Source organism: Homo sapiens, chromosome X (genome assembly GCF_000001405.40).
Source record: "Homo sapiens chromosome X, GRCh38.p14 Primary Assembly".
Taxonomy (NCBI): Eukaryota; Metazoa; Chordata; class Mammalia; order Primates; family Hominidae; genus Homo; species Homo sapiens.
This window is the reverse complement of record NC_000023.11, coordinates 119,785,884-119,812,958: the sequence shown is the minus strand read 5'-3', so window position 1 is coordinate 119,812,958 and position 27,075 is coordinate 119,785,884. Positions and strand designations below refer to the sequence as shown.

At 45.6% G+C, this 27,075-nt stretch overlaps 2 protein-coding genes, 1 long non-coding RNA gene and 1 other non-coding gene across 9 annotated transcripts in view, besides 4 other annotated features; 3 read left to right on the top strand and 1 right to left on the bottom strand.

The window, feature by feature from the left end:
• Positions 1-7,648, top strand: part of UPF3B (UPF3B regulator of nonsense mediated mRNA decay) — a 47,653-nt gene extending 40,005 nt beyond the window's left edge. The window contains exons 15-16 of one of the 2 annotated variants that reach the window (XM_017029738.2): positions 5,378-5,484; positions 7,524-7,648. In XM_017029738.2, the coding sequence (XP_016885227.1) occupies positions 5,378-5,473 (96 nt within the window). In that variant the 3' untranslated portion in view covers positions 5,474-5,484; positions 7,524-7,648. Of the gene's footprint in view, positions 1-5,377 lie in introns of both variants that reach the window. The other variant, XM_047442375.1, reaches the window with a different exon arrangement.
• LOC107985694 (uncharacterized) lies at positions 1,991-21,243 on the bottom strand. Of its 5 annotated transcripts, none has more exons than XR_001755949.2 (3): positions 20,942-21,243; positions 19,223-19,383; positions 1,991-7,580 (listed from the first exon to the last, which is right to left on the bottom strand). It is a non-coding gene; the product is annotated as an uncharacterized LOC107985694 (long non-coding RNA). The 5 variants fall into 5 exon arrangements; XR_007068309.1 differs by lacking the exon at positions 19,223-19,383 and adding an exon at positions 13,639-13,756 and having other exon boundaries at positions 7,312-7,580; XR_007068311.1 differs by lacking the exon at positions 20,942-21,243 and adding an exon at positions 13,639-13,756 and having other exon boundaries at positions 7,502-7,580; positions 19,223-19,581.
• Positions 3,579-3,873: a silencer, noted in NCBI's record as "tiled region #4463; HepG2 Repressive non-DNase unmatched - State 24:Quies". NCBI's record gives its function as "weakly represses a minimal TATA promoter and a strong SV40 promoter by Sharpr-MPRA in HepG2 cells {active_cell/tissue: HepG2}" and the evidence as "EXISTENCE:reporter gene assay evidence [ECO:0000049][PMID:27701403]".
• Positions 3,579-3,873: an enhancer, noted in NCBI's record as "tiled region #4463; K562 Activating DNase matched - State 5:Enh". NCBI's record gives its function as "activates a minimal TATA promoter and a strong SV40 promoter by Sharpr-MPRA in K562 cells {active_cell/tissue: K562}" and the evidence as "EXISTENCE:reporter gene assay evidence [ECO:0000049][PMID:27701403]".
• Positions 21,329-26,455, top strand: RPL39 (ribosomal protein L39). The gene is made up of 3 exons (NM_001000.4): positions 21,329-21,385; positions 22,948-23,051; positions 26,227-26,455. Exons 1-3 carry the CDS (start codon positions 21,383-21,385, stop codon positions 26,273-26,275), a joined length of 156 nt encoding a protein of 51 aa, NP_000991.1. The 5' UTR covers positions 21,329-21,382; the 3' UTR covers positions 26,276-26,455.
• Positions 21,335-21,594: an enhancer, noted in NCBI's record as "active region_29899". NCBI's record gives its function as "activates an Ori minimal core promoter by ATAC-STARR-seq in GM12878 lymphoblastoid cells {active_cell/tissue: GM12878}" and the evidence as "EXISTENCE:reporter gene assay evidence [ECO:0000049][PMID:35858748]".
• Positions 23,464-23,523: an enhancer, noted in NCBI's record as "active region_29898". NCBI's record gives its function as "activates an Ori minimal core promoter by ATAC-STARR-seq in GM12878 lymphoblastoid cells {active_cell/tissue: GM12878}" and the evidence as "EXISTENCE:reporter gene assay evidence [ECO:0000049][PMID:35858748]".
• SNORA69 (small nucleolar RNA, H/ACA box 69) lies at positions 25,475-25,606 on the top strand. Its single transcript, NR_002584.1, has one exon. It is a non-coding gene; the product is annotated as a small nucleolar RNA, H/ACA box 69 (small nucleolar RNA).

Below are 27,075 nucleotides of genomic sequence, written 5' to 3'. Positions count from 1 at the left end.
TGACAATGTCCCGTGCCACAGAGAGGCTAAGGAAGACAAGAAATGGAAGTGTTCACTGGATTTGGCAGTCGTGATTTCATTAGTGAACTAATGAAACTGATGACCTAAAAGAGACAGAAACCATGTTACAGTGAGGGGTGAATGGCAGGTGGGAAATGGATGTATGTTTGGAATTCATCTCTTTTTAGGTGGTCATTGAAGTCATGGCCATTGATTCTGTTACTTAAGAGGGAGAGTGAAGTAAGAACAGAAGCAGACCTAGGGCCCAACCTCGAAAAACTAACATTACATAGAGGTAAAGAAATGTATCTACAAAAACAGAGAAGGACTAGCCAGAGAGTAGGAGAAAAACCAGAAGACTCTGGGTTACTTAATCTAAGAGAAAAGTGTTTCAAGGAAGAGGAGTGGCCAGCAGGGTTGGATGCCGCTGAATGGTCAATTATGATGCCTGACAAAAGCCATGGCATTCAGTGACTTGCAAATCACTGATGCCCTAGAATTATGGGGCAGGGAAGCCAGATTGGGTTGAGAATGGAAAAGATATATACAACTTTTTAGGGAAGTACGAGGGATCTTCAAAAGTTTCTGGACCCTTAGTTCTACTCTGAGGCCTCCTTCACATTCTCCTGAACATATAAATATGTAATTATCAGAAAGAATCATGGCTTGCAATTAGTTCCTAGGTGGATTTTTTTCTTTTTTTTTTAAGACAGAGTCTTGCTCTGTCACCCAGGCTGTAGTGCAGTGGTGCCATCTTGGCTCACTGCAACCTCCACCTCCTGAGTTGAAGAAATTCTCCTTCCTCTGCCTCCCAAGTAGCTGGATTGCAGATGCCTGGCACCACACATGGCTAATTTTTGTATTTTTTGTAGAGACAGGGTTTCACCATGTTGGCCAGGCTGGTCTCCAATTCCTCACCTCAAGTGATGTGCACACCTAAACCTCCCAATGGGCTGAGATTACAGGCATGAGCCACTGGGCCCAGCCTGGATTTTTTTTTTTCTTTTGAGGTAAGGTTTCTGTCTGTCACCACCACTGGAGTGCCATGGCACAATCACGGCTCACTGCAGCCTTGACCTTCTGGGTTCAGTTGATCCTCCCACATCAGCCTCCTGAGTAGCTGGGAATATAGGCATAGGCCACCATGCCCAGCTAACTTTTGTATTTTTTGTCAAGACAGGGTTTTCCCATGTTGCCCAGGCTGATCTCAAACTCTTGGGCTCAAGCAATCCGCCCACCTTAGCCTCGCAAAGTGCTGGGATTACAGGTATGAGCCACCGTGTCCAGCCTGAGGGATTTTTTTTTTTTTTTTTTGAGACTGAGTCTCACTCTGTCACCAGACTGGAGTGCAGCAGCACGATCTTTGCCCACTGCAACCTCTGCCTCCGGGGTTCAAGTGATTCTCCTGCCTCAGCCTCCCGAGTAGCTGGAACTTCAAGCACGTGACACCAAGCCCAGCTAATTTTTGTATTTTTAGTAGAGACGGGGTTTCACCATGTTGGCGAGGATGGTCTATGATCTCTTGACCTTGTGATTCATCCACCTCGGCCTCCCAAAGTGCTGGGATTACAGGTGTGAGCCACCGCACCCGGCCATGGATTTTTAAAAGAACAGATGATGGGTGCAGTAACTCACTCCTGTAATCCCAGCATTTTGGGAGGCCGAAGCAGGTGGACCACCTGAGGTCAGGAGTTCAAGACCAGCCTGGCCAACACGGCAAAACCCCACCTCTACTAAAAAAATAGAAAAAAAAATTGCTGTGTGTTGTGTCGCGTACCTGTAGTACAAACTACTCAGGAGGCTCAGGCAGGAGAATCGCTTGAACCCGGGAGGCGGAGGTTGCAGTGAGCGGAGATCACGTCACTGCACTCCAGCCTGGGTGACAGAGCCAGACTCTGTCTCAAAAAAAAAAAAAAGTTTGTGGAAAATAGACGTAAAAGATAAAAAATATAAACTTATAAGATCCACCAAGGTCAAGAAACTTTGACACTTTTGTAGGCAATGATATTAGCCATTTATTTATTTATTTTTGTCTCTTGCTCACAGCACTTAGATACTAGCCATTTTATCCATCCCCAAAGAATTGGAGTTCCTGGGAATTTACATCAATGCAATCTTTTTTACATTATTAACTGGAAAAAAAATGGTACCCTTTACAGATTTTTTATCATTAGGAAACCAAAAGAAGTTGGAAGGAGCTAAATACCAACTGTAGGGTGAATGCCTACTGGTTTCCCATTGAAACTCTCTCAAAATTTCCCGTTTGATGAGAGGCGTGAGCAGAACCTTTGCTGTGATAGAAAAGGACTCTCTGGTGAAGTTTTCCTGGGCATTTTTCTGCTAAAGCTTTGGCTTTCTCAAAACACTCTCATAATAAGCAGATGTTATTTTTCTTTGGCCCTCCAGAAAGTCAACAAGCAAAATTTCTCAAGCAGCTCAAAAAACTATTTCCATGACCTTTGCTCTTGACCAGACCACTTTTGCTTTGACTGGACCACTTCCACATCTTCGGAGCCATTACTTCGATTGTACTTTGTCTCCATAGTTGGAAAGCCACATTTCACCTCCTGTTACACTTTCCCAATAGATGCTTCATGATCTATTGGTTGGGGCAAAAGTAATTGCGGTTTTTGACATGTCTTTCAATGGCAAAAACTGCAATTAATTTTGTAGCAACCAATAGAGCCTACTTGTTTAAAATTTCCATTGAAAGCTCTGTTCTTTGCAGCTGATCTGGTTTTGGCACCCATCAAGTGGAAAGTTTGCTCAACTTTTGATTTTTCAGTCAGAATTCTGTAAGCTGAACCAATTGTGATGTCTATGGTGTTGACTGTTGTTTCTGCTGTTAATCGTTGGTCCTTCCAAATTAGGGCACAAAGAAGATAAATTTTTTTTCTCACAAATTGATGTGGATGACCTGCTGCTGCAGGCTTCATCTTCAGCATCGTCTTGTCCTTTCTTACAAATTAACTATTTTTATAAACTGCTGATTTATTTAGGTGCATTGTCCCCATAAACTTTTGGTAAAGCATCAGTGATTTTACCATTCTTCCACCCTAACCTCACCCTAAATTTGACGTTTGTTGTTCCTTCAATTTTAGCAGAATTCATTTTGCTCTGATTGTAGCTCTTTTCAAACTGATGACTTCTCCTTTTTAATGACTCAAACTAGATCCTGTTGAGACATTTTATAATGCGTTAGTACCAGTTTGTTTTGGTGCAAAAAGATTTTGTTTTTGAGATGGAGTCTCACTCTGTCGCCCAGGCTGCAGTGCTGTGGCGCGATCTCAGCTCATTGCAACCTCACCTCCCCAGTTCAAGCTATTCTCCTCCCTCAGCCTCCTGAGTAGCTGAGAATACAAGTGTGAACCACCACACCTGGCTAATTTTTCTGTTTTTTAGTAGAGACGAGGTTTCACCATGTTGGCCAGGCTGGTATCAAACTCCTGACCTCAAGTGATCCACCAGTCTCAGCTTCCCAAAGTGCTGGGATTACAGGGGTGAGTCACCATGCCCAGCCCTCAAAAAGATTTTGCAATCCATGCACAGTTTCTTGATAATACACATTTTCCATGGACTTTTTGAAGACTTCTCATATGGCTGTTGATATGGTTGGGCTCTGTGTCCCCACCCAAATCTTATCTTGAATTGTAATCCTTATGTGTCAAGGGAGGAAGTTGGTGGGAGGTGATTGGATTAGGAGGCTGGTTTCCCTCATGCTGTTCTCCTGATAATGAGTGAGTCACACCAGATCTGATGGTCTTAAAAGTGGCAGTTTTTCCTATACTCGCAATTCACCTCTCGCCTGCTGTCATGTAAGGCATGCCTGCTTCACCTTCTGCCATAATTTTAAATTTCCTGAGGCCTCCCGAGCCATTCGAAACTGTGAGTCAATTAAATCTCTTCTCTTTATATACTACCCAGTCTCGGGTATTTCTTTCTACCACTGTGAAAACAGACTAACACAGCTGTGAAAGAAATTGAGATACATAGGTTAATGGTGTTAATGAAGCATTATTTTAAATATGAGAAAGTAAGTTTAGAAGCCAAAAGGAAAGCTCTAAAAGAATGAATACCCAAGAGAAAGAGACTACTAATACTGTAGGCTTCCTGCAAAGGCAGGTGAAAATGGAAGCCAAGATAGAGGTTAGAGGAGTTGGCCTTAAGAGAAGCCATTCTCCTGAACCACCAGGCATGAGCTGACATCCCTTGCCTCTTTGTCTAGCCTGTTGCCAGCCATCTCAAGGCCGTTTTCACGTCAGCACCTCCCTCTTCTGTTCTACTTGCCTTGCCTGTCCAGCTCTGGATAAACCACACGTCCCCACCCCACCCTCTTCAATTTCTTCCATTTGCTCATTCATTTAGCAAACATGTACCAATCACTGACTGTGTGCCCGGCCCTGGGGTCAAGGATTAAAATAAGTCCTTGTCTGTGTTGAACTCATGGTTCAATATTGGCAAGAGGCAAATAGCAATAATCAGATCATGATGCACAATGTCAGAAGGGTCGAGGTAGCACAGGGTGTTGTGGGAGCCTCTTGCCCCTAAGCTGCAAGTGTCGCTGGAGAAAATCCCTCAGCCAGATCAACCAGTGAAACCACAGGAGGGCCCTCCCTCCTGCGAAGCAATTTTTAAAATCCATCTTTAATTGATATCCTTTCCCCCAATACCACCTTTCTTCTTCTAGTTTGCTCCCTTCCTCTCCTTTCTTGTGTTGTAGGCAGTGGGGGTGAGGACCACTTCCTCATAAAGCATAATTTCATGTCCTTAATAACTATAGGCCAGGCACGGTGGCTCATCCCTATAAGCCCAGCACTTTGGGAGGCTGAGGCAGGCAGATAACTTGAGGTCAGCAGTTGGAGACGAGCTGGGCCTACATGGCGAAACCCCGTCTCCTAGCATTTCGGAGGCCAAGGCGGGAGGATCACTTAACTTCAGGAGTTCAAGACCCGCCTGGATAACATAGGGAGACCCCCTCTCTACTAAAAATTTAAAAACTTAGCCCAGTGTGGTTGCACCTGCCTGCAATCCCAGCTACTAGGGAGCTGAGGTGGGAGGATCGCTTGAGTCTGGAATGTCGAGGCTGCAGTGAGCTGCAATTGTGCCACTTGCACTTCAGCCTGGGTGACACAGTGAGATGATATCTCTGAAAAAAAAGAAACTGAACCAGGCTTATAAAATAATAATTATAAAATGGTTGCTTTTCTTTGGAGATGGAGAGAGGAAATGGGCAAGTTGTCATTTACCATGCCCTCACATTTTTGGTCTTAAATTACTGAGCTTTAGTATATATTAATATATATAAGATATGACCTGATAATCCCATTTAAAGCATATTAGCATTGTTCTAACAGTAACATATTTCATTATACTTCAGGATCATCCAGGGATGAAGCTTTACCATCCAGGAGCTCGAAGCCCAGGTCGATTCTGGTGGCAAGATGGCAGCACCAATCTGGAGATTCAGCAGTAGAAAGAAAGCAGGAAAGTGATATTAACCATAGAAAAGAAGGAGGAAGGGAGTGTTAAGTCCAGATGGCCTTAGGTGTACTGACTGTCTAGGCAGCCAAAGAGCACACGTTAAGCAATCCAGAAGTGCCTTCAGGGCAAAGAATAGAGAGAAAGGGGGTGGTTGTGCTGGTGGGGTACACTGCAGAGGAGTAAGTCTTGTGTCAAAGCAGGAATCTGATCAGAGGTTCAGAATTGGAAGTACAATTTCATTGCTTTTGCAATTTATACAAATTAATTTTAGTGTCAGAAAAAGCTGATGGTGAGGACATGCATTGCAATTTGCAGGGAAATGTCAAGTGAGGACTTCATTACGTATGACACGAGAGAAAAGTAAGAGCTGGTTCTAAAATCAAAAGCTGTTGTTCATCCCGAGTTGAATTTTCTTTTTTTTTTTTCTTTTTTTTTTTTTTTTTTTTTTTTAGACAGGGTCTCACCCTGTTGCCCAGCCTGGAGTACAGTGGCTCAATGTCGGTTCACTGCAACCTCCACCTCCTGGGTTCAACTGATTCTCCTGCCTCAGCCTCCCGAGTAGCTGGGATTACAGGTGCCCGCCACCTTGCCTGGCTAATTTTTGTATTTTTAGTAGACATGGGGTTTCACCACGTTGGCCACGCTGGTCTTGAACTCCTGACCTCAGGTGATTCCCCCCGCTTCGGCCTTCCAAAGTGCTGGGATTACAGGTATGAGCCACCGTGCCCGTCCATTCCAATCTAGTTTTATTGCATTGTTGATGATAACTGTTGACTTTGGGAAGTGTAGAAGCAACAAGCATGTCCTTGTAGTATAAGTACAGTGAAGGATAGAACAAACTTTTGTTGGTGCCAAAATTTAAATAGTCATGTTACTTCTGCATCTAATGTCCTAAAGTTTAAGGATTACTTTTAGTTTTTTGTTTGCTTACATGAGCTTAGCATGAAGAATATTTTCAAACATCTGCTTTTATCTTCAGCTTTTTTTATTTTTTATTATACTTTAAGTTTTAGGGTACATGTGCACATTGTGCAGGTTAGTTACATATGTATACATGTGCCATGCTGGTGTGCTGCACCCACTAACTCGTCATCTAGCATTAGGTATATCTCCCAATGCTATCCCTCCCCCCTCCCCCAACCCCACCACAGTCCCCAGAGTGTGATATTCCCCTTCCTGTGTCCATGTGATCTCATTGTTCAATTCCCACCTATGAGTGAGAATATGCGGTGTTTGGTTTTTTGTTCTTGCAATAGTTTACTGAGAATGATGATTTCCAGTTTCATCCATGTCCCTACAAAGGACATGAACTCATCATTTTTTATGGCTGCATAGTATTCCATGGTGTATATGTGCCACATTTTCTTAATCCAGTCTATCATTGTTGGACATTTGGGTTGGTTCCAAGTCTTTGCTATTGTGAATAATGCCGCAGTAAACATACGTGTGCATGTGTCTTTATAGCAGCATGATTTATAGTCCTTTGGGTATATACCCAGTAATGGGATGGCTGGGTCAAATGGTATTTCTAGTTCTAGATCCCTGAGGAATCGCCACACTGACTTCCACAATGGTTGAACTAGTTTACAGTCCCACCAACAGTGTAAAAGTGTTCCTATTTCTCCACATCCTCTCCAGCACCTGTTGTTTCCTGACTTTTTAATGATTGCCATTCTAACTGGTGTGAGATGGTATCTCATTGTGGTTTTGATTTGCATTTCTCTGATGGCCAGGGATGATGAGCATTTTTTCATGTGTTTTTTGGCTGCATAAATGTCTTCTTTTGAGAAGTGTCTGTTCATGTCCTTAGCCCACTTTTTGATGGGGTTGTTTTTTCTTGTAAATTTATTTGAGGTCATTGTAGATTCTGGATATTAGCCCTTCGTCAGATGAGTAGGTTGCGAAAATTTTCTCCCATTTTGTAGGTTGCCTGTTCACCCTGATGGTAGTTTCTTTTGCTGTGCAGAAGCTCTTTAGTTTAATTAGATCCCATTGGTAGTCCTTGTTTGATTCTTGACAATCCAGTGTGTGTTTTATCTTAGGTCTCATGATCTGAGTGTGTACCCTCTCCAGGAAGGAAACTGCATCAATGTCTGTTCCTGTTAAATAGCAACTTTTAGTCTCAGCTTGTTTTGTTTTGATGTCAATAAATAGTAACAACATTCAAGTATGAAGCTAAGTGTGTTTATTAACTTCACTAAATAGCTGTTATATTTGAGAAATTAAATTTTTGATACTGAATTAACCTCTGGAGAATTTCAAAAGTGCATGAATGATATTAGTTTCTGCTTTCACTGGCATGCCTTTGTTTTGTCTACCAGGGAAAAATCAGTTCATGGTTCACTCCTATATTAGGCCTGATGTTTTTTGGCTGTGCCCCCACCCACATCTCATCTTGAATTCCTACATGTTGTGTGAGGGACCCAGTGAGAGGTAATTGAATAATGGGGCAGGTCTTTCCTGTGCTGTTCCCATGATAGTGAAGAAGTCTCACAAGATCTGATGGTTTCATAAAGAGGAGTTCCCCGGCACAAGCTCTTTTTGTCCTGCTGCCATCCATGTAAGACATGACTTGCTCCTCCTTGCCTTCTGCCATAATTGTGGGGCCTCCCTACCCATGTGGAACTGTGAGTCCATTAAAGCCTCTTTTCCATCCCAGTTTCGGGTATGTCTTTTTTTTTTTTTTTTTTTTTTTTTGAGACAAGGTCTTACTCTGTCACCCAGGCTGGAGTGCAGTGGCGTGATCTCAACTCACTGAAACCTCCACCTCCCAGATTCAAGCAATTCTCCTGCCTCAGCCTCCCTAGTAGCTGAGATTACAGCCATCCGCCACCGTGCCTGGCTAAATTTCGTATTTTTAGTAGAGATGGGAATTCACCATGTTGGCCAGGCTGGTCTTGAACTCCCGACCTCAGGTGATCCACTGCCTCGGCCTCCCAAAGTGCTGGGATTACAGGCATGAGCCACCACTCCTGGCCTCGGGTATGTCTTTATCAGCAGTGTGAAAACGAACTAATACAGGCTGTTCTTACATTATTATAAAGAAATACCTGGCCGGGGCTGGGGGCAGTGGCATATGCCTGTAATCCCAGCATTTTGGGAGGCTGAGGTGGGTGGATCACGAGGTTAGGAGTTTGAGACCAGCCTGGCCAACATGGTGAAACCACATCTCTACTAAAAATACAAAAAATTAGCTGGGCGTGGTGGCACACGCCTGTAGTCCCCAGCTACTCAGAAGGCGGAGGCAGAAGAATCACTTGAACCAGGGAGGTGGAGGTTGCAGTGAGCCGAGATTGTGCCACTGTACTCCAGTCTGGGTGACAGAGTGAGACTCCATCTCAAAAAAAGAAAAAAAAAAAATACCTGGCCAGGTGCAGTGGCTCCCGCCTGTAATCCCAACACTTTGGAAGGCTGAGATGGGCGGATCACTTGAGGTCAGGAGTTTGAGACCAGCCTGGCCAAAATGATGAAACCCCATCTCTACTAAAAATACAAAAATTAGCCAGGCATGGTGGCAGGTGCCTGTAATCCCAGCTGCTCAGGAGGCTGAGGCAGGAGAATCACTTGAACCCAGGAAGGTGGAGGCTGCAATGAGCCGAGATCACACCACTGCACTCCAGCCTGGGCAACAGAATGAGACTCTGCCTCAGAAAAATAAATAAATAAATAAATAAATAAATACCTGAGACTGGATAATTTATAAGAAAAGAGATTTAATTGGCTCCCAGTTCTGCAGGCTGTACAGGAAGTGTGGCACTGGTATCTGCTCGAGTTTTGGGAAAGCCTCAGGGAGCTTTTACTCATGGTGGAAAGTGAAGCAGAAGACATCCCACATCACAGAGTGAGCAAGAGAGTGAGTGCGGGGAGGAGGTGCCACACTTTACAACAACCAGCTCTGTAAAACTCACTATGGAGAGGACAGCACCAAGCCATGAGGGATCTGCCCCATAACCCCAACACCCCACCAGGCCCCACCTACAACACTGGGGATTATATTTCCATGAGATTTGGGTGGGGACAAATATCCAAACCACATCAACTATTCTGGTCCCTTAAGAACAAAATGTTTAGACAACATCCTTGAGCTTTTGCCTGATTTTCATTCATTCTGCCAGCCCTTCCTAACATGGCATCACTTTGCCTTTACTTTCTAAATAACTTTGTTTCCTCAGCTTTTAGAAACAAGTAGCCCAAGAGGGAGGTACAAGAGCCACCAAAAATGATTGAAAGTGAATGACTGTCAGATGGGCGAGAGGATTAAGGGAAGGGAAAATTTCAAGAAGGAGATTGGCTGACATTGTCCCATGCCACAGAGAGATTAAGGAAGACAAGAAATGGAAGTGTTCATTGGATTTGGCAGTCGTGATTTCATTAGTGAACTAATGAAACTGATGACCTAAAAGAGATAGAAACCATGTTATAGTGAGGGGTGAATGGCAGGTGGGAAATGGATGTATGGATTTGGAATTCATCCATTTTTAGGGGTCCATTGAAGTCATGACCATGGATTCTGTCACTTTATGGGGAGAGAGTGAAGTAGGAACAGAAGCAGACCTAGGGCCCAGCCTTAAAGAACTCTTAACATTACACAGAGGTAAGGAAATGTATCTACAAAGACAGAAAGAATAGCCAGAGTAGGAGAAATACCAGAAGACTCCGGTGTTACTTAATCCAAGAGAAAAGTGTTTCAAGGAGGAGGAGTGGCCAGCAAGGTTGGCCACTAAAAATACGGCTGGGCGTGGTGGCTCATGCTTGAAATGCCAGCACTTCGGGAGGCCGAGGCGGGAGGATCACTTGAGGTCAGGACTTCAAGACCAGCTTGGCCAACATGGTGAAACCCCACCCCTACTAAAAATACAAAAATTAGCCGGGCGTGGTAGTGCACATCTGCAATCCAAGCTACTTGGGAGGCTGAGGCAGGAGAATTGCTTGAACCTGAGAGATGGAGGTTGCAGTGAGCCAAGATCGCGCCACTGCACTGCTGCCTGGGTGACAGACTGAGACTCTGTCTCAAAAAAATAAACACCAAAAAAAAAAAAAAAGAAAAAATATTAAAAATACAAAAGTCAGCCAGGCGTGTTGGCACAAGCCTGTGGTCCCAGCTACTCAGGAGGCTGTGTCAGGAGAATTGCTTGAACCCAGGAGGCAGAGGTTGCAGTGAGCCAAGATCACACCAGTGCACTCCAGCCTGGGCAAGAGAGCAAGACTCTGTCAAGAAGAAAGAAAGGAAGGAGGAAAAAAATGGAAAGGAAGGAAGGAAGGAAAAAGAAAGAAAAGAGGAAAGAAAGGGAGGGAGGGAGGAAGGGAAAGAAAGAAAAGGGAGGGAGGGAGGGAGGGAAGAAAGGAAGGAAGGAAAAAAGGAAAGAAGGAAGGAAGGAGAGAAAGGGAGAAAGAGAAAAAGGAGGAGGAAGGAAGGAGAAAGAGAAAGGAAGGAAAGAAAAGAGAAAGAAAAGGGAGGGAGGGAGAAAGGAAGGGAAAGAGAAGAAGGAAGGAAGGAAAAGGAAATAAGGAAAGAAGGAAGGAGAAAGAAAAAAGAAAGAAGGAGGGAGGGAGGGAAAGAGAAGGAGGGAGGGAGGGAAAGAGAAAGAGAGAGAAAGAAAAAGAAAAAGAGAAAGAAAAGGAAGCAAGGAAAAGAGTGAGAGGGAGGGAAGGAGGAAGGAAAGAGGGAAGGAGAGAGGGAGGGAGGGAGGAATGAAAGAAGGAAGGAAGGAAAAAAGGAAGGAAAGGAGGGAGAGAGAAGAGGGAGGGAGGAAGGAAGGAAAGAAGGAAGGAAAGGAAAGAAGGAAAGAAGGAAGGAAAGAAAGAAAAAAAGGAGAAAGGAAAGAAAGAAAGAAAAAAAAAGAAAGAGAAAGAGAAAGAAAAATGAGCCGGGCATGAGAGCTCTTCCAGGTAATCCTAGCATTTGGGAGGCTGAGGTGGGAGCATCACTTGAACTTAGGAGTTCGAGACTAGCCTGGGCAACATAGTGAGACCCTGTCTCTATTAAAAAAAATAAAAAATGTTGGCCTGGCACAGTGCCTCACACCTGTAATTCTAGCACTTTGGGAGGCCAAGGTGGGATGATTGCTTGAGCTCAGGAGTTCAAGACCAGCCTGGGCAATATAGTGAGACCCCACTTCTAAAAAAAATGAAATACTGATTCATGCTACAACATGGATGAACCTTGAAAACATTATGCTAAGTGAAAGAAAGCAGACACAAAAGGCTACATATTGTGTCTCCATTTATATAAAATATCCAGAATAGGCAAATCCACAGAGACGGAAAATAGATTAGTGGTTTCCTAGGGCTGAGAGAAGAGTGGGAATGAAAGAGTGACTGCTAGGCCAGGCACGGTGGCTCACATCTGTAATCCTAGCACTTTGGGAGGCTGAGGCGGGTGGATCACCTGAGGTCAAGAGTTCAAGACCAGCTGGGCCAACATGGCAAAACCCCATCTCCACTAAAAATACAAAATTAGCCAGGCGTGGTGGCACATGCCTGTAATCCCAGCTACTTGGGAGGCTGAGGTAGGAGAATCACTAGAACCCAGGAGGCGGAGGTTGCAGTGAGCTGAGTTCATGCCACTGCACTCCAGCCTGGGTGACAGAGACTCTATCTCAAAAATAAATAAAATAAAATAAAATAGTGGCCGGTGCGGTGGCTGACACCTGTAATCCCAGCACTCTGGGAGGCCGAGGTGGGCAGATCACCTGAGGTCAGGAGTTCAAGACCAGCGTGGCCAACATGGTGAAACCCTGCCTCTACTAAAAATACAAAAATTAGCTGGGTGTGGTGGTGCATGCCTGTAATCCCAGCTACTTGGGAGGTTGGGGCAGGAGAATCGCTTGAACTCGGGAGGCCGAGGTTGCAGTGAGCTGAGATCACGCCATTGCACTCCAGCCTGACAGAGCAAGACTCTGTCTCAAAAATAAAATAAAATAAAAAAACGGTGATTTTCATATTACGTGAATTGTATCTCACTTAAAGAATGGGAGAGAAGTTGGAAACAGTGAATGAAGACAAATCTTTACCAGGGTTTTGTTGTAAAGGGAAGGAGAAGAAGAAGTAGCTGGCAAGGGAGTTGGAGTAAAAAGCAGCTTTTTTAAGATGACAGCATATTTATTTGTATGTTGATGGGAATAATGCAGTGAACAGCAAGGACAGAAAGGGAAGACTAGTCAGAGCAGGGTTGTTGAATGGGCGAGAGAGGTTTGGATCTAGGGCACAAGCGAGCAGACAGGCCGGACATAGTTCAAACGTTTCATTCACAGTAACAGAGGGATGGGGGAATAGTCACGTGGAGGTGTTGGCAGATAGCATGTGTGGATGGGCTGTGGGAGTTCTCTTGTGATTGCTTAAATTTTCTCAGTGACTAGGAAGCCAGGTCCTCAACTGAGTGTGAGAATGGAGGAAGAAGGGTTGCAGGTTTGAGGAGGGAGAGGAGAGTCTTGACATAATTATCTAGGCCTAGGCTCAGCAAATTACAGCCTATGGACCAAACCTGGCCACTGCGTGTTTTTGTACAGCCTGAGAGCTAAGAATGGTTTCTGTATTTTTGAATGGTTGAAAAAAATCAAAAGAATATTTTGGGACACATGACAATTCTATTGAATTTAAATTTTAGTATCTGTAACTAAAGTTTTCTTGGAACCCAGCCACACCGTTCATTTACATATTGTCCTGCAGCTTTCATCCTGCAACAGCAGAGTTGAGTAGTCGCAACAGACACTGTATGTCATCTGCAAAGCCTAAAATATTTACTATCAGAAAAAGTTTGCTGACCAGGCGTGGTGGCTCATGCCTGTAATCCCAGCACTTTGGGAGGCTGAGGCGGGCAGATCACCTGAGGTCAGGAGTTGGAGACCAGCCTGGCCAACATGGCGAAACCCCGTCTCTACTAAAAATACAAAAATTAGCGGGCATGGTGGTAGGTGTCTGTAATCCCAGCTACTCCAGAGGCTGAGGCAGGAGAACTGCTTGAACCTGGGAGGCGGAGGTTACAGTGAGCCGAGATCGTGCCACTGCACTCCAGCCTAGGCGACAAGAGCGAGACTCTGTTTCAAAAAAAAAAAAGCATAATTTTAACAACCGCCCCCACGAGCCTTCTTGTTTCCACTATTGTCCCCATCCCCATCTACTCTCCAGCTGGCCAAAGGATCTTTTTAAAATACTTACATAATTGGCCAGGCACGGTGGCTTATGCCTGTAATCCCAGCACTTTGGGAGGCCGAGGTGAGATCGCTTGAAGTCAGGAGTTCGAGATCAGCCTGGACAATGTGGTGAGACCCCGTCTCTACCAAAATACAAAAAATTGGGTTGGCAGCACGCACCTGTAGTCCCAGCTACTTAGGGGCCTGAGGTTGGAGGATGGCTTGAGCCGGGGAAGTGGGGGTTGCAGGGAGCTGAGAATATACCACTGCACTCCAGCCGGGGTGATAGAGCAAGACCCTGCCTCCAAAAACAACAACATCAACAACAACAAATATATAATTGCCACTTACTCTTACCCTTTAAAAGCTTTCAAGGCTCCCAATTGCCTTCAGCAGTAATTTTGAAAATCCACCCTCAAACAAGAAGGGTCGGGCCAAACAATGAAGATGTAAACTGCCCTGTGGAGTCTGTTCTTTGATGTTGTCTCTTTGATGTATTAGCGTTTGTTCATTCATTCACCAAATATTTACTGCGCATCTACTATGTGTCAGGCACTGTTCCAGGCTCAGGGAATACAGCAGTGAACAAAATACACAATCCATGACCTCATGGAGCTTACATTCTAGGCAGGGAGTCAAACAATAAATAAAATATATGTTATCTCAGGTAAGTAATATGGAGAAAAATAAAGCAGTAGTAGGGGTAGGGAGTGCTGAGTGGGGGCCAGGGGTTGCAAATTTTTTTTAGAGAGAGTCTCACTCTGTCACCCAGGCTGGAGTGCAGTGGCTCAATCACTGCTGACTGTAGCCTCGAACTCCCCAGGCTCAGGTGAGCCTCCCACCTCAGCTTCCTGAGTAGCTGGGACTACAGGCATGTGCCACCACACCCAGCTAATCTTTGCATTTTTCTTGTAGAGGCGGAGGTCTCACCATGTTGCCCAGGATGGTCTCAAACTTCTGGGCTCAAGCCCAGAATGCTGGGCCTTGACCTCCCAAAATGCTGGGATTATAGGTGTGAGCCACTGCGCCCGACCTGGGGTTTGCAATTTTACTTTATTTTATTTTATTTTACTTTATTTTATTTTTGAGACAGAGTGTCCCTCTGTCTCCCAGGCTGGAGTGGAGTGGCATGATCTCAGCTCACTGTAACCTCCACCTCCCGAGTCCCGGTTCAAGCAATTCTCCTGTCTAAGCCTCCTGAGTAGCTGGGATTACAGGCACACACTATCATGCCCAGCTAATTTTTTGTATTTTCAGTAGAGATGGGGTTTCACCATGTTGGCCAGGCTGGTCTCGAACTCCTGACCTCATGATCTGCCCGCCTCAGCCTCCCAAAGTGCTGGGATTACAGGCGTGAGCCATCGCGCCCGGCCGAGCTGCAATTTTAGATAGATAGAGTGGTTAGGGAAAGCCTCACTGAGGTGACATTGGAAAAAAGACCTAAGGAGACTGATGAAGGAAGCCATGAAGGCGTGGGGACATCTAGGGGAAGAGCTTCCAGGTAGCGAGAAGAGCAAGTGCAAAGGCCCTGAGCTGAGAACTGCCCAGTATGGCCAAAGCCCAGTGAACTGATGGTGAGAGCAGTGGGAGATAAGGTCACAGAGGTGAGGTGGAAGGGGCTGATGTGGAAGCGTATGCCTGTTGTGAGAACTTGAATCTTTAATTTTTTTCTTCTTTTTATATTTTTTTTGGAGATAGAGTCTTGCTCTGTTACTCAGGCTGGAGTACAGTGGTGTGATCTCATCTTACTGCAGCCTTGACCTTCCGGGCTCAAGCAATCCTCCCACCTCAGCCTCCTGAATAGCTGAGACCACAGGTGTGTGCCCCGACATCCGGCTAATTTTTTAACGTTTCGTAGCGACAGGGTCTCCCTATGTCGCCCAGGCTGGGGCACTTAGATATTTACTGGAGTGAAATGAGCCATTAAGAACCACTAAATAGGCCAGGCACAGTGGCTCATGCCTGCAATCCCAGCACTTTGGGAGGCAGAAGGGGGCAGATCCCTTGAGCTCAGGAGTTCAAGACCAACATGGCCAACATACACCCCCATCTCTATTAAAAACACAAAAATTAGCCGGGTGTGGTGGCATGTGCCTGTAGTCCCAGCCATTTGAGAGGCTGAGGCACAGGAATCACTTGAACTCAGGAGGTGGAGGTTGCAGTGACCTGAGATCATGCCACTGCGCTCCAGCCTGGGTGACAGAGCAAGACTTAGTCTCAAAAAAATGAAAAATAAAAAGGAGCCACTAAATACAGTGACATGATCAGGCTTAGGTTTTAACAGGGTCATTGACTGCTGTGTTGAGAAGAAACTGTAGAGGGGCAGGGCCAGAAGAAGGGGGAAGAGTTTGAAGGATTTTGCAGTAATCCAAGTGAGAGATGAACGACGGTGGGGGAAATGAGCACTGAATTCGAGAAACATTTTTGAGACAGCTGACAGGATTTGCTGAGACTGGATTAAGGGTGTAACAGAGAAGAGTCAATGGTGAGTTTCTATATAAAATGGCTTTTAAAACAAAGAGCCATTCTGTTAAAGAAGTCTGCAAACTACATCGGGCGTGGTGGCTCACGCCTGTAATCCCAGCACTTTGGGAGGCTGAGGCGGGTGGATCACTTGAGGTCAGGAGTTTGAGACCAGACTGGCCAACATGGTGAAACCCATCTCTACTAAAAATACAAAAATTAGCTGGGGATGGTAGCATGTGTCTGTAATCCCAGCCACTTGGGAGGCTGAGGCAGGAGAATTGCTTGAACCAGGGAGGTGGAGGTTGCAGTGAGTGGAGATAATACCATTGCACTCCAGCCTAGGCGACAGAGCGAGACTCTGTCTCAAAAAAATAAAAATAAAAGAAAGAAAAAAAAAGAAGTCTGCAAATTGTTGGTCCCCAGGATAAAGCTCAGACTCCTAGGCTGGCTCTGGGAGGCCCTGGATACCTGTTCTTAGCATCTACACCTTTGCAGATATAATCGTCTCTCAGTATCCATGAAGGATTGGTTCCAGGATCTCTTTAATACCAAAACCCACTGATGTCCAAGTCCTTTATATAAAATTATGTAATATTTGCATATAACCTACACACATCCTCCTGTATACTTTAAGTCATCTCTTGTTTACTTATAATACCTAATGTAGTGTAAATGCTATGTAAATAATTATTATACTGTATTGTTTTTCATTTGTATTTATTTTTAGAGATAGGGTCTCACTACATTGCCCAGGCTGGACTTGAACTCCTGGGATCAAGCAATCTGCCTACCGCAGCCTCCCAAGTAGCTAGGACTACAGGTGCATGCTGCCACACCTGTCTATATTTGTATTATTTTTTATTGCTGCATTATTTTTTTCCAACTTTTTTTTTTTTTTTGAGACAGGGTCTCACTCTGTTGCCCAGGCTGAAGTGCAATGGTGCGATCTCGGCTCACTGAAACTTCCACCTCCTAGGTTCAAGCAATTCTCCTGCCTCAGCCTCCTGAATAGCTGTGATTGCAGGTGTGCCACCATTCCCGGCTAATTTTTGTATTTTTAGTAGAGACAGGGTTCTGCCATGTTGGCCAGGCTGGTCTCGAACTCCTGATCTAAGTTGATCCACCCGCCTCAGCCTCCCAAAGTGCTGGGATTACAGGTGGGAGCCACCACGCCCGGCCATTTTTCCAAATATACATTTTTTAACTTGGATTTTTTGGATTTTTATTGCTCATTTATTTAAGAGCAAGCATTTTCTTTCTGGTGACCAGAAGCAGCAGCAAATAAGCTTTTAAGTGCTTATGTCAATTATCCTTTTAATTCTTACTGCTTTTAGAAAGAGCACTTCTTGCTGGTTTTCCTTCTACCTTTCATGCCACCCTTTCTCAATTTTTTTTTTTTTTTTTTTGAGACGGAGTCTCCCTCTGTCACCAGGCTGAAGTACAGTGGCATGATCTCCACTCACTGCAACCTCCACCTCCCGGGTTCAAGCGATTCTCCTGCCTCAGCCTCCCGAGTAGCTGGGATTACAGGCGCCACCACCACACCCGGCTAATTTTTTGTATTTTTAGTAGAGACGAGATTTCACCATGTTGGTCAGGCTGGTCTCGAACTCCTGACCTCGTGATCCACCCGCCTCGGCCTCCCAAAGTGCTGGGATTATAGGCGTGAGCCACCGCGCCCAGCCCTCAATTTTTTGTTTGTTTTGAGACAGGGTCTCACTCTGTTGCTCAGGCTGGAGTGCAGTGGCACAATCATGGCTCACTGCAGCCTCGAACTCCTGGGCTCAAGCGCTCCTCCCTTCTCGCCTTCCAAGTAGCTGGAGCTACGGGCACGTGCCACCACATCCAGTGGCTAAATTTTGTATTTTTTGTAGAGAGTCTCACTATGTTGTCCAGGCTGATCTAAAACTCCTGGTCTCAACTATTCCTCCTTCCCCAGCCTTCCAAAATGCTGGGATTACAGGTGTTAGCCACTGCACCTGGCCCCTGCTTTGCTTTTCTTGATGACACCTCCTTCTGATGTGCCATGTAATTTACATATTTGTTGTCTAACTCCCCACTATAATTAAACTCAATGAAGGCAGAGTTTTTTTAGACTTGTATTTTGAAATAACAATAGATTCGCAAGAAGTTGCAAAGAAAGGGACTGAGAGGCCCTGTGTACCCTTTATCTAGTTTTCCCCAGTGTTAGCATCTTGCATAACTATAGTACAATATCACAACCAGGAAATTCACGTTGGCACAGTCCACAGAGCTTATTCAGATTTCACCAGTTATACATATGCCCCTTGGGGCAGGGGTGGGCAGGGGGGAGTTGTATAGAATTGTTTTTTTTGTTTTTTTGTTTTTGTTTTTTGAGACAGAGTCTCACTCTGTCACCCAGGCTGGGGTGCAGTGTTGTGATCTCGGCTCACTGCACCCTCCACCTCCTGGGTTCAAGCAATTCTCTCTGTCTCAGCCTCCTGAGTAGCTTGGACTACAGGCACGCACCAGCATGCCCGGCTAATTTTTTTTGTTTGTTTTGAGACAGAGTCTCGCTCTGTCACCCAGGCTGGAGTGCAGTGGCGCGATCTCGGCTCACTGCAGCCTCCACCTCCCGGGTTCAAGCCATTCTCCTGCCTCAGCCTCCTGAGTAGCTGGGATTACAGGCGCGCGCCACCACACTTGGCTAATTTTTGTATTTTTAGTAGGGACGGGGTTTCACCATGTTGGTCAGGTTGATCTCGAACTCCTGACCTCAGGTGATCCGCCCGCCTCAGCCTCCCAAAGTGCTGGGATTACAGACGTGAGTCACCACACTTGGCAAATTCTATCACACGTGTAGCTTTGTGTAATTCCCACCACAAAAAAATCCAGAACCATACCATCGCCACAAGACTCCAAGAGGGCAGGGATTTTTGGTCAGATTTGTTTGCTTCTGTACCCCCAACACGAAGACCCGAACCAGACAGAGTAGGTTCCCAAAATCTGTGTTGAAAAGGCAGTAGAGGGTAGTGGTGACAGCACAGACTCTGAAGCCTGGACTACCTGAGTCTGAGTACCGGCTGTGCAACATAGTAGCTGTGTGACCTTGGGTATACAACTTAATCTGTCCCTGTTGCAGTTCCCTCTTCTGTAAAATGAGGATGATTAACCATACTTACCTTGTAGTGTTCTGGTGAAGATTCAAAAGGTCACTGGTAAAACATGGTAAGCTCACAGTGAGGCTTGAATTAATACATGCAGCTACATAGTAACTATCAAGCCCCATAAGCAGCAGCCACTGTTACTTTCATCCTTTTGCATTGCAACAGAACAGATAGTGCTAGGAGCCATAAGAAAGGTACAAATAAACTATTACAACAGTGTTGAAGGGGTGATGATTTCCAGCTAAGGGGAAGAGACAGCATTTGAATTCGGCCTTAGAAGGTGACTGGTGGTGTCATGAGCTAAATTATGTTCCCCCAAAATTCATGTGTTGAAGCCCTAATCCCCAGGACCTCAGAATGTGACTTTAGGCCGGGCACGGTAGCGCACTCCAGTAATCCCAGCACTTTGGGAGGCCGAGGCGGGCGGATTACTTGAGGTCAGGAGTTCGAGACCGGCTTAGCCAACATGGCGAAACTCCGTCTCTACTAAAAATACAAAAATTAGCTGGGTGTGGTAGTGCGTGCCTGTAGTCCCAGCTACTCGGGAGGCTGAGGCATGAGAATCACTTGAACCCGGGAGGCGGAGGTTGCAGTGAGCCAAGATTGTGCCATTGCACTCTAGCCTGGGCAATAAAGGGAGACTCAGTCTTGAAAAAAAAAAAAAGGAAATATGTGCTATAGTAATACATGGGCTTCTTAACATAGTTCTATTTGTGAACTTATAACTAATGTAATTTAAAGGGAGTGTGTAAATAATATATGGAGACATCTGCATCAACTGTAATGTAACATGAAGCCATCTATGGTTTCTATTAGTGACCAAGTCACGAGTACTGCTAATGCCACTGTGGTCTGTTGCCTACATTCCTAAATAAAGAAAGCATTACATTTCATTAAATTTGGTGAAAATAAAGTTGTATTTTCCCATTCAAGTTCATGGGATCCTCTGAATTCTATACATGGACTCTTGTGGACTCCAGGTTAAAAACCCTTGCTGTAATCCGTTGGTGTAAAAATGCTTGAGGTGACTGCAAATATACATGGAGGTTTTTGCGTTTATTTATTTACTTTTTCTTTTTTGAGATGGAGTTTTGCTCTTGTTGCCCAGGCTGGAGTGCAGTGGCGCAATCTCGGCTCGCTGCAACCTCCGCCTTCAGGGTTCAAGAGATTCTCTTGTCTCAGCCCCCGCAGTAGCTGAGATTACAGGCGCCCGCCACCACGCCTGGTTAGTTTTTTTGTATTTTTAGTAGGGACGGGGTTTCACCATGTTGGCCAGGCTGGTCTCGAACTCCTCGTTTCAAGTAATCCGCCCGCCTAGGCCTCCCAAAGTGCTGGGATTACAAGCGTGAGCCACCACGCCCAGCTTATTTTTATGTTTATTTTATTTACTCATCAAAAAGGAAAGGTTTTTGCTTTTAAATGGGGAAAAGGATGAAAATGGGGAACACTAGCATCCCAAACGCATGTTATTAATTATTGTACATCTTGCCAAAGGCGGGCTACAATGTCAGGCTGGACTTCTAGCAGCCAAGGAAGAGGTTCTGTCCCTAACTTTCTGAGTTGAAAACTTTGATTGGCAACCTTCCGCCTAGTCGAAAACCCCTAGGCTTACATAAGCGTCCACGTGGTCCAACCCCCTCCAACTTCTCCGGCTTCCTCCGACACGACTGTCCCTTCCCACACCTCCCAGCCAGGCCGAAATGACTCGTAACCCTCTGGGAAAATGGCACTTACTCTCCGCCTGCCGAGCTCCGACCCGGCGTTCCGAGTCCCCGGCGCCCGGAGGTGACGGTCGCTTCCCCTGCCCTCCCTTAGGGTTAGTCCCGCCCAATCGGCTCCTTAATTTTTCGGAGGGGCTTCTACTTTGGCATTTATCACGGGCTGTCTGCCTCACTTACGAAGCAGGGTGCCCCTAGCACACTGCCGGGCCCCTGGGGGAACGCACTTAGGGAAGCGAAGCAAAGCTAACTGCATTTGGCAGAAACCAGCGCGCTTTCCCACGGCGCCACGGGAGCGCACCGCTAGACAGAGAAGGCACTAGAAGAGGCGGTCGGTGCATAGCGTCACCTCCTAAACTCCGCCCATCGGAAGCGCCTTCTAAGCTCGTTCTTCCGCCAGCTTCCCTCCTCTTCCTTTCTCCGCCATCGTGGTGTGTTCTTGACTCCGCTGCTCGCCATGGTAAGTCCATCGGCCCCCATCGGCCCCGGGGTGGCTTCCCAAAACCCGAGGCCGCTGCCAGGAAATGCCTGGGCCGCGCGGAGCGTTGAGGGGCGGGAGCCTTTTAAAGGCTTTTTCAAGAAAATATCCAGTTCGGCCACTGTTGTCTTTCGTGGCCTGGAGGGAAGCTAGTGAGCCAGCGAGCAACCTGGAGAGGGACGGGCTGCGCTGCGGCCGCGGATTCAAGGGGGCTCTTTCTTTGCCCGGCCGCTGCCGAGTCGGGCAGGGATTCCGGTTTCCCTTCGCTTGTAGCGAACTCGTTCTGGAGGCGGGGGGTGGGAGGTGGCAGCCACCCCCGAAATCGTGGCCTGACTGTGGGCTGCCCGTGGCATGCGCAACGTGGAGGGTAATCAGGAGGGTATTGTGGGCTACTGGTTTTCGAAAAGGGTTTAGCTTGGCGTGGAGAAGCGAACCGCATTTTTAGATCCCAGGACTTTTGTTTAGAGGACGTTTATTCAGAGACTTGAGCGTCACCCCGTGGAAGCGCCTAGAACAAGGGGTGTTTTGCGAACCTGTGTGTCATTCTGGCCTTCTTAGTAAATGGCAGCAGCGAACCAGTCACTCTTTACTGGGAAATGTAAAATGTTGATTTCTAGATATGGAGGCGATAAGTACTGGTATTTTATTACTTGTCAAGTAATTTATTACTTGACAAAATTTACAACTGCTACTGTGGATGGGGGACGGGGTGTAATCTTTGCCTTCTTTGTATTGGCTCCCATTATTATGCAAGGGTATGTTCGTCCAGGTTGGCCAGGCATTAAACCTGCATCCGTGCCAATTTTGCAAGATTATTCTGTAGATTTGGGGGAGTATTGGGGTTGGCCTTAGATGAAAGCCAAAAGATGCAACTAGAAATTGAGACAGTCATCCTTGGAAAAGTGACATTTCATTTATTTTTAAATTTAAAAGTTTATTTTTTTAGCCAGTGAAATTTAGCAGTAGAGATAGAGTTAGGATTAATACCGAAATGGTGAGTAGGTTAGATCTTCTGAATGTCAGGGACTTTCCCTAAGTCTTAATTACCCTCCCAATAACACTTGAAAAGTACGTACCCCTGTTTTACAAAGTAGAGCACTGAGATTCGTTGACTTGCAAATGGTAGGTAGGTGGTTCTGTTTGACTCAAAGCTGTGTTCTTCCCAGGAAGCCAGATTCCCTAGCCATTCCCAGTGTGGTCGTCTGAGTCCTTGGGGGACCACAGGGTAAATTGAAAGGTAGCCTCTGGCTGTGGAGCAGAAAGGACCTGGGTTTGAATCCTGGTTCTGCACATTGATGCTCTGATTTTGTGCATGTTTCTTAACCGGATTCCACTTATTTTATCTGAACGATGGAAACTGTGGTATCTGCCCCCAGAGAAGTTGTGAGGGTCAGAGACTTGCTTGGCTTGATGGCTTAGCATTGAGAAGATTTTGGGGCTGGGGTATGTGTTAAGCACTCAAATGTTGGTTTGAAGGAGTTCTTGACTTTGAATCATTCGGGCAGGCTCTAATATTGTCTAAATTGATTGCATTTTCTTCCCAGTCTTCTCACAAGACTTTCAGGATTAAGCGATTCCTGGCCAAGAAACAAAAGCAAAATCGTCCCATTCCCCAGTGGATTCGGATGAAAACTGGAAATAAAATCAGGTAAGACCTCCATCATACTGCTTGTATTTTGCTAAATGTAAGAGCCACTGTGTCTGGCCAGGGTTACTTTTTGAGTATAAATACATGATTAAAATTGCATGCAATCCAATCCACCCTTTGACAGCATTCTCAAATTCGTTTTTAAAAACGTACTTCCTTTGTTTCTGCACTGCATCCAGCCCACATCTGGGCTTATGGGCAGATAATTCTCCAATACTTATTAATTTCCTGGTCATCTTCAGTCTGAGCTAGGTCATAAGGTGGAAGGCTGTCTTATACACATCCTGGTGGGGAAGACCCAGTCAGTATTTTTAGGCTTTTTGTTTTTGTTTTTGTTTTTGTTTTTGTTTTGAGACGGAGTCTCGCTCTGTTACCCGGGCTGGAGTGCAGTGGCACAATCTCGGCTCACTGCAACCTCTGCCTCCCAGGTTCAAGTGATTCTTTTGCCTCCGCCTTCAGAGTAGCTGGGACTACAGGCGTGCGTCACCACGCCCAGCTAAGTTTTATATTTTTAGTAGAGATGGTATTTCACTATATTGGCCAGGCTGGTCTCAAACTCCTGAGCTCAAGTGATCTGCCCCTCTCGGCTTCCCAAAGTGCTGGGATTACAGGCATAAGCCATTGTGCCCGGCCTTTGTTTTTGTTTTTTGAGACAGGATCTTGTTCTGTTTTACATGCTGCGTTGACACTATCTCCCTGCAACCTCTCCCTACCTACCAGACTCAAGTGACCCTCCCACCTCATCTCTCTGAGTAGCTGGGACTACAGGCACACGCCACCACACCTGGCTAATTTTTAAATTTTTTGTAGAGATGGGGTCTCTCTGTGTTGCCCAAGCTGGTCTTGAACTCCTGAGCTCAAGCAATCCTCCTGTCTCACCCTACCAAAGTGCAGAGATTACAGGCGTGAGCCATCACACCTAGCCCAGTCTTTTAGATGTTTCTCTTTTCTAAAAAGAGACTAGAAAAGATTGGAAAACTGTCCTCTACTGCAGAAGTAGTTGATCTCAAAGGAAAAACATTACTAGAATTGCTATGAAGGACCTCCAAGGTCATCTAGACTAACTCCAGGGAAAGCTAGGCCTGAAACAGTCTCCTGCATGGCTTTTTCAGCCCATCGCTCTTTGGTCCTGATGGGCCTTGAGACAGGTTTTGAAGGGAGCATCAAGAATCAGCAAGAGTTGCCCAAGGTTCAGCAGTCGCTCTCTCACCCAGGCTGAGTGCAGTGGTGTAACCCTCCCACCTCAGCCTCCTCCTGAGTAGCTGGGACTACAGGCGTTCACCACCATGCCTGGCTAATTTGTGTACCTGTTGTAGAGATGGGGTTTCGCCATGTTGCCCAGGCTAGTCAAAGCACTTTCTCTTTTTTTTTTTTTTGAGATGGAGTTTTGCTCTCATTGCCCAGGCTGGAGTGCAATGGTGTGATCTTGGCTTACCGCAACCTCTGCCTCCCAAGTTCAAGCGATTCTCTTGCTCAGCCTCCCAAGTAGCTGGGATTACAGGTGCCTGCCACCACACCTGGCTAATTTTTGTATTTTTAGTAGAGACGGGGTTTCACCATCTTGGCCAGGCTGGTCTTGAACTCCTGACCTCGTGATTCACGCGCCTCTGCCTCCCAACATGCTGGGATTACAGGCATGAGCCACCGCGCCCAGCCAGAACTTGATTCGACTTGTATGGCAAAGCTAGTGGGATTGGTTTGCTAAGAAGACTTAAAGGGGTGGCTTCTTAGGGCTAAAGTTGAGGGCCTATTTCCTTGGTTCATTTAGCTAGTTAGATGTGAAAATTGCCACCCATTGTAATGTTATGGGCTAGTTAATTGCTTACCATTTGTTTACTGGATACTAGACACTGTCCTTTATTATTTGATACATCTACTTGAACGTGGGTTTCTCTGTGTCCTGCCTGATGGTGGGACCTGCTTGTGAAGAGTGAAAGAAGTATATATAAACCAGGCACAGTGCTTCATACTTATAATCCCAGCACTTTGGGAGAGGCCAACGCAGGAGGATTGCTTGAGGCCAGGAATTTGAGACCAGCCTGGGCAACATAGGGAGACCACCCCCGTCCATCTCTACCAAAAATATAAATTAGCTGGACTTGGTGGCACGTGCTTGTAGTCCTAACTATTTAGCAGGCTGAAGTGGGAGGATCACTTGAGCCCAGGAATTCACAGGCTGCAGTGAGCTGTGATCCGGCCGCTGCATTGTAGCCTGGGCAACAGTGTGACCCTGTCTCAAAAAAAGAAAAATGTATGTAAAACTCAACGCCTAGTTCAATAAATAACCTGCTATTAAACTCTGTGGTCTCCTAGAATTGGGAAGGTATTTTGTACGTAAGATTATATACCCTTGACCCAGATAATTGACCCAATGGAATGATTTTCATTGTTTTAGCTATCTTCCAGCGTTAAAAATGTTTTTGAAAGCAGGTTGCAATTACAGTGCTTCATTTTGTGGAAGTACTGCCATTATCCTGCTGAAAGAAAAGCCGTGTTAATCATTTTTGATTTTGCCTTTATGAGGGTAAAATCATGACAGATTGACATGGACAATTCTGGGATTGCTGTTTCCCTGCACTAGACGTGAATGGAGGAGTTGATCGATTGTAAAGATCATGCGAGGCCAGGTGCAGTGGCTCATGCCTGTAATCTCAACTCTTTGGGAGGACGAGGCGGGTGGATCTCGAAGTCCAGCCAGTTCGAGACCAGCCTGGCCAACATGGTGAAACCCTGCCTCTACTAAAAATACAAAAATACAAAAATTAGCTGGGTGGTGTTGGGGGGGCGGGCGACTCTGTCTCAAAAAAAATATCATGCGGGAGCTTTTATATGTTTGTGACCCATTATGAGGGGGTTCAGAGTATGTCTGTGTACCTCCAGGTCCATTGAATCAAAAGTGGGTACAAGTACACTTGGAGAGAGTGGGCTTCGCCACTACTCTGATCCTAGTTAAGAGCCTAGCCTTCAAATTATTTTGAGAGGATAAAACTTGACTTGGCTAGTTTTTAAACACATAGGGAATTATTTTTTTTACTCTCCAGAAAGAACTCCAAACTTGTTAGAGGAGAGAAAAGCAGTACCCTTTGTATTTTGTGGTACCTAAAAGGTTATGTGAATGGGAACAGCTACATTGCTGTCAGACTGCCTTTGTAACTTGACATTTTTTTCTGTGTAGGTACAACTCCAAAAGGAGACATTGGAGAAGAACCAAGCTGGGTCTATAAGGAATTGCACATGAGATGGCACACATATTTATGCTGTCTGAAGGTCACGATCATGTTACCATATCAAGCTGAAAATGTCACCACTATCTGGAGATTTCGACGTGTTTTCCTCTCTGAATCTGTTATGAACACGTTGGTTGGCTGGATTCAGTAATAAATATGTAAGGCCTTTCTTTTTAATTGCTGTTGTATTGTGGTTTGTCAATTACTGAATTCTCCCTTCCCTGCCAAACCTAATAACAACACTATCCAGTAGAACTTTCTGCAATGATAGAAATGTTCTCTGGCTACCATGTGCTTGAAGTGTGTTTAGTGTAAAGGACTGATTCTGTAAATTTTATTTTATTTTTTTTTAATGTATTTATTTATTTTGAGACAGAGTCTGGCTCTGTTGCCCAGGCTGGAGTGCAGTGGTGCGATCTTAGCTCACTGCAACCTCCACCTCCCGGGTTCAAGCAATTCTCTTGCCTCAGCCTCCTGAGTAGCTGGGATTACAGGCGCCCCCCACCACATCCAGCTAATTTTTGTATTTTTAGTAGAGATGGGGTTTCACAATGTTGGTCAGGCTGGTCTCGAACTCCTGACCTTGAGATCCACCCACCTCGGCCTCCCCAAAGTGTTGGGATTACAGGCATGAGCCACCACGCCCGGCCTCACATGAGTTTTACAATTAATCAACTCCCCCATTCACGTCTAGTGCAGGGAAATAGCAATCGCAGAATTTTATTTTTAGTAGAGATGGGGTTTCACCATGTTGGCCAGGCTGGTCTGGACCTCCTGACCTCAGGTGGTCCACCACC

Coding starts and splice junctions, on each gene's coding strand:
- RPL39 (NM_001000.4), top strand. Junction 23,052..26,226: donor AAAACTGGAAATAAAATCAG/GTAAGACCTCCA, acceptor TTTTCTGTGTAG/GTACAACTCCAAAAGGAGAC.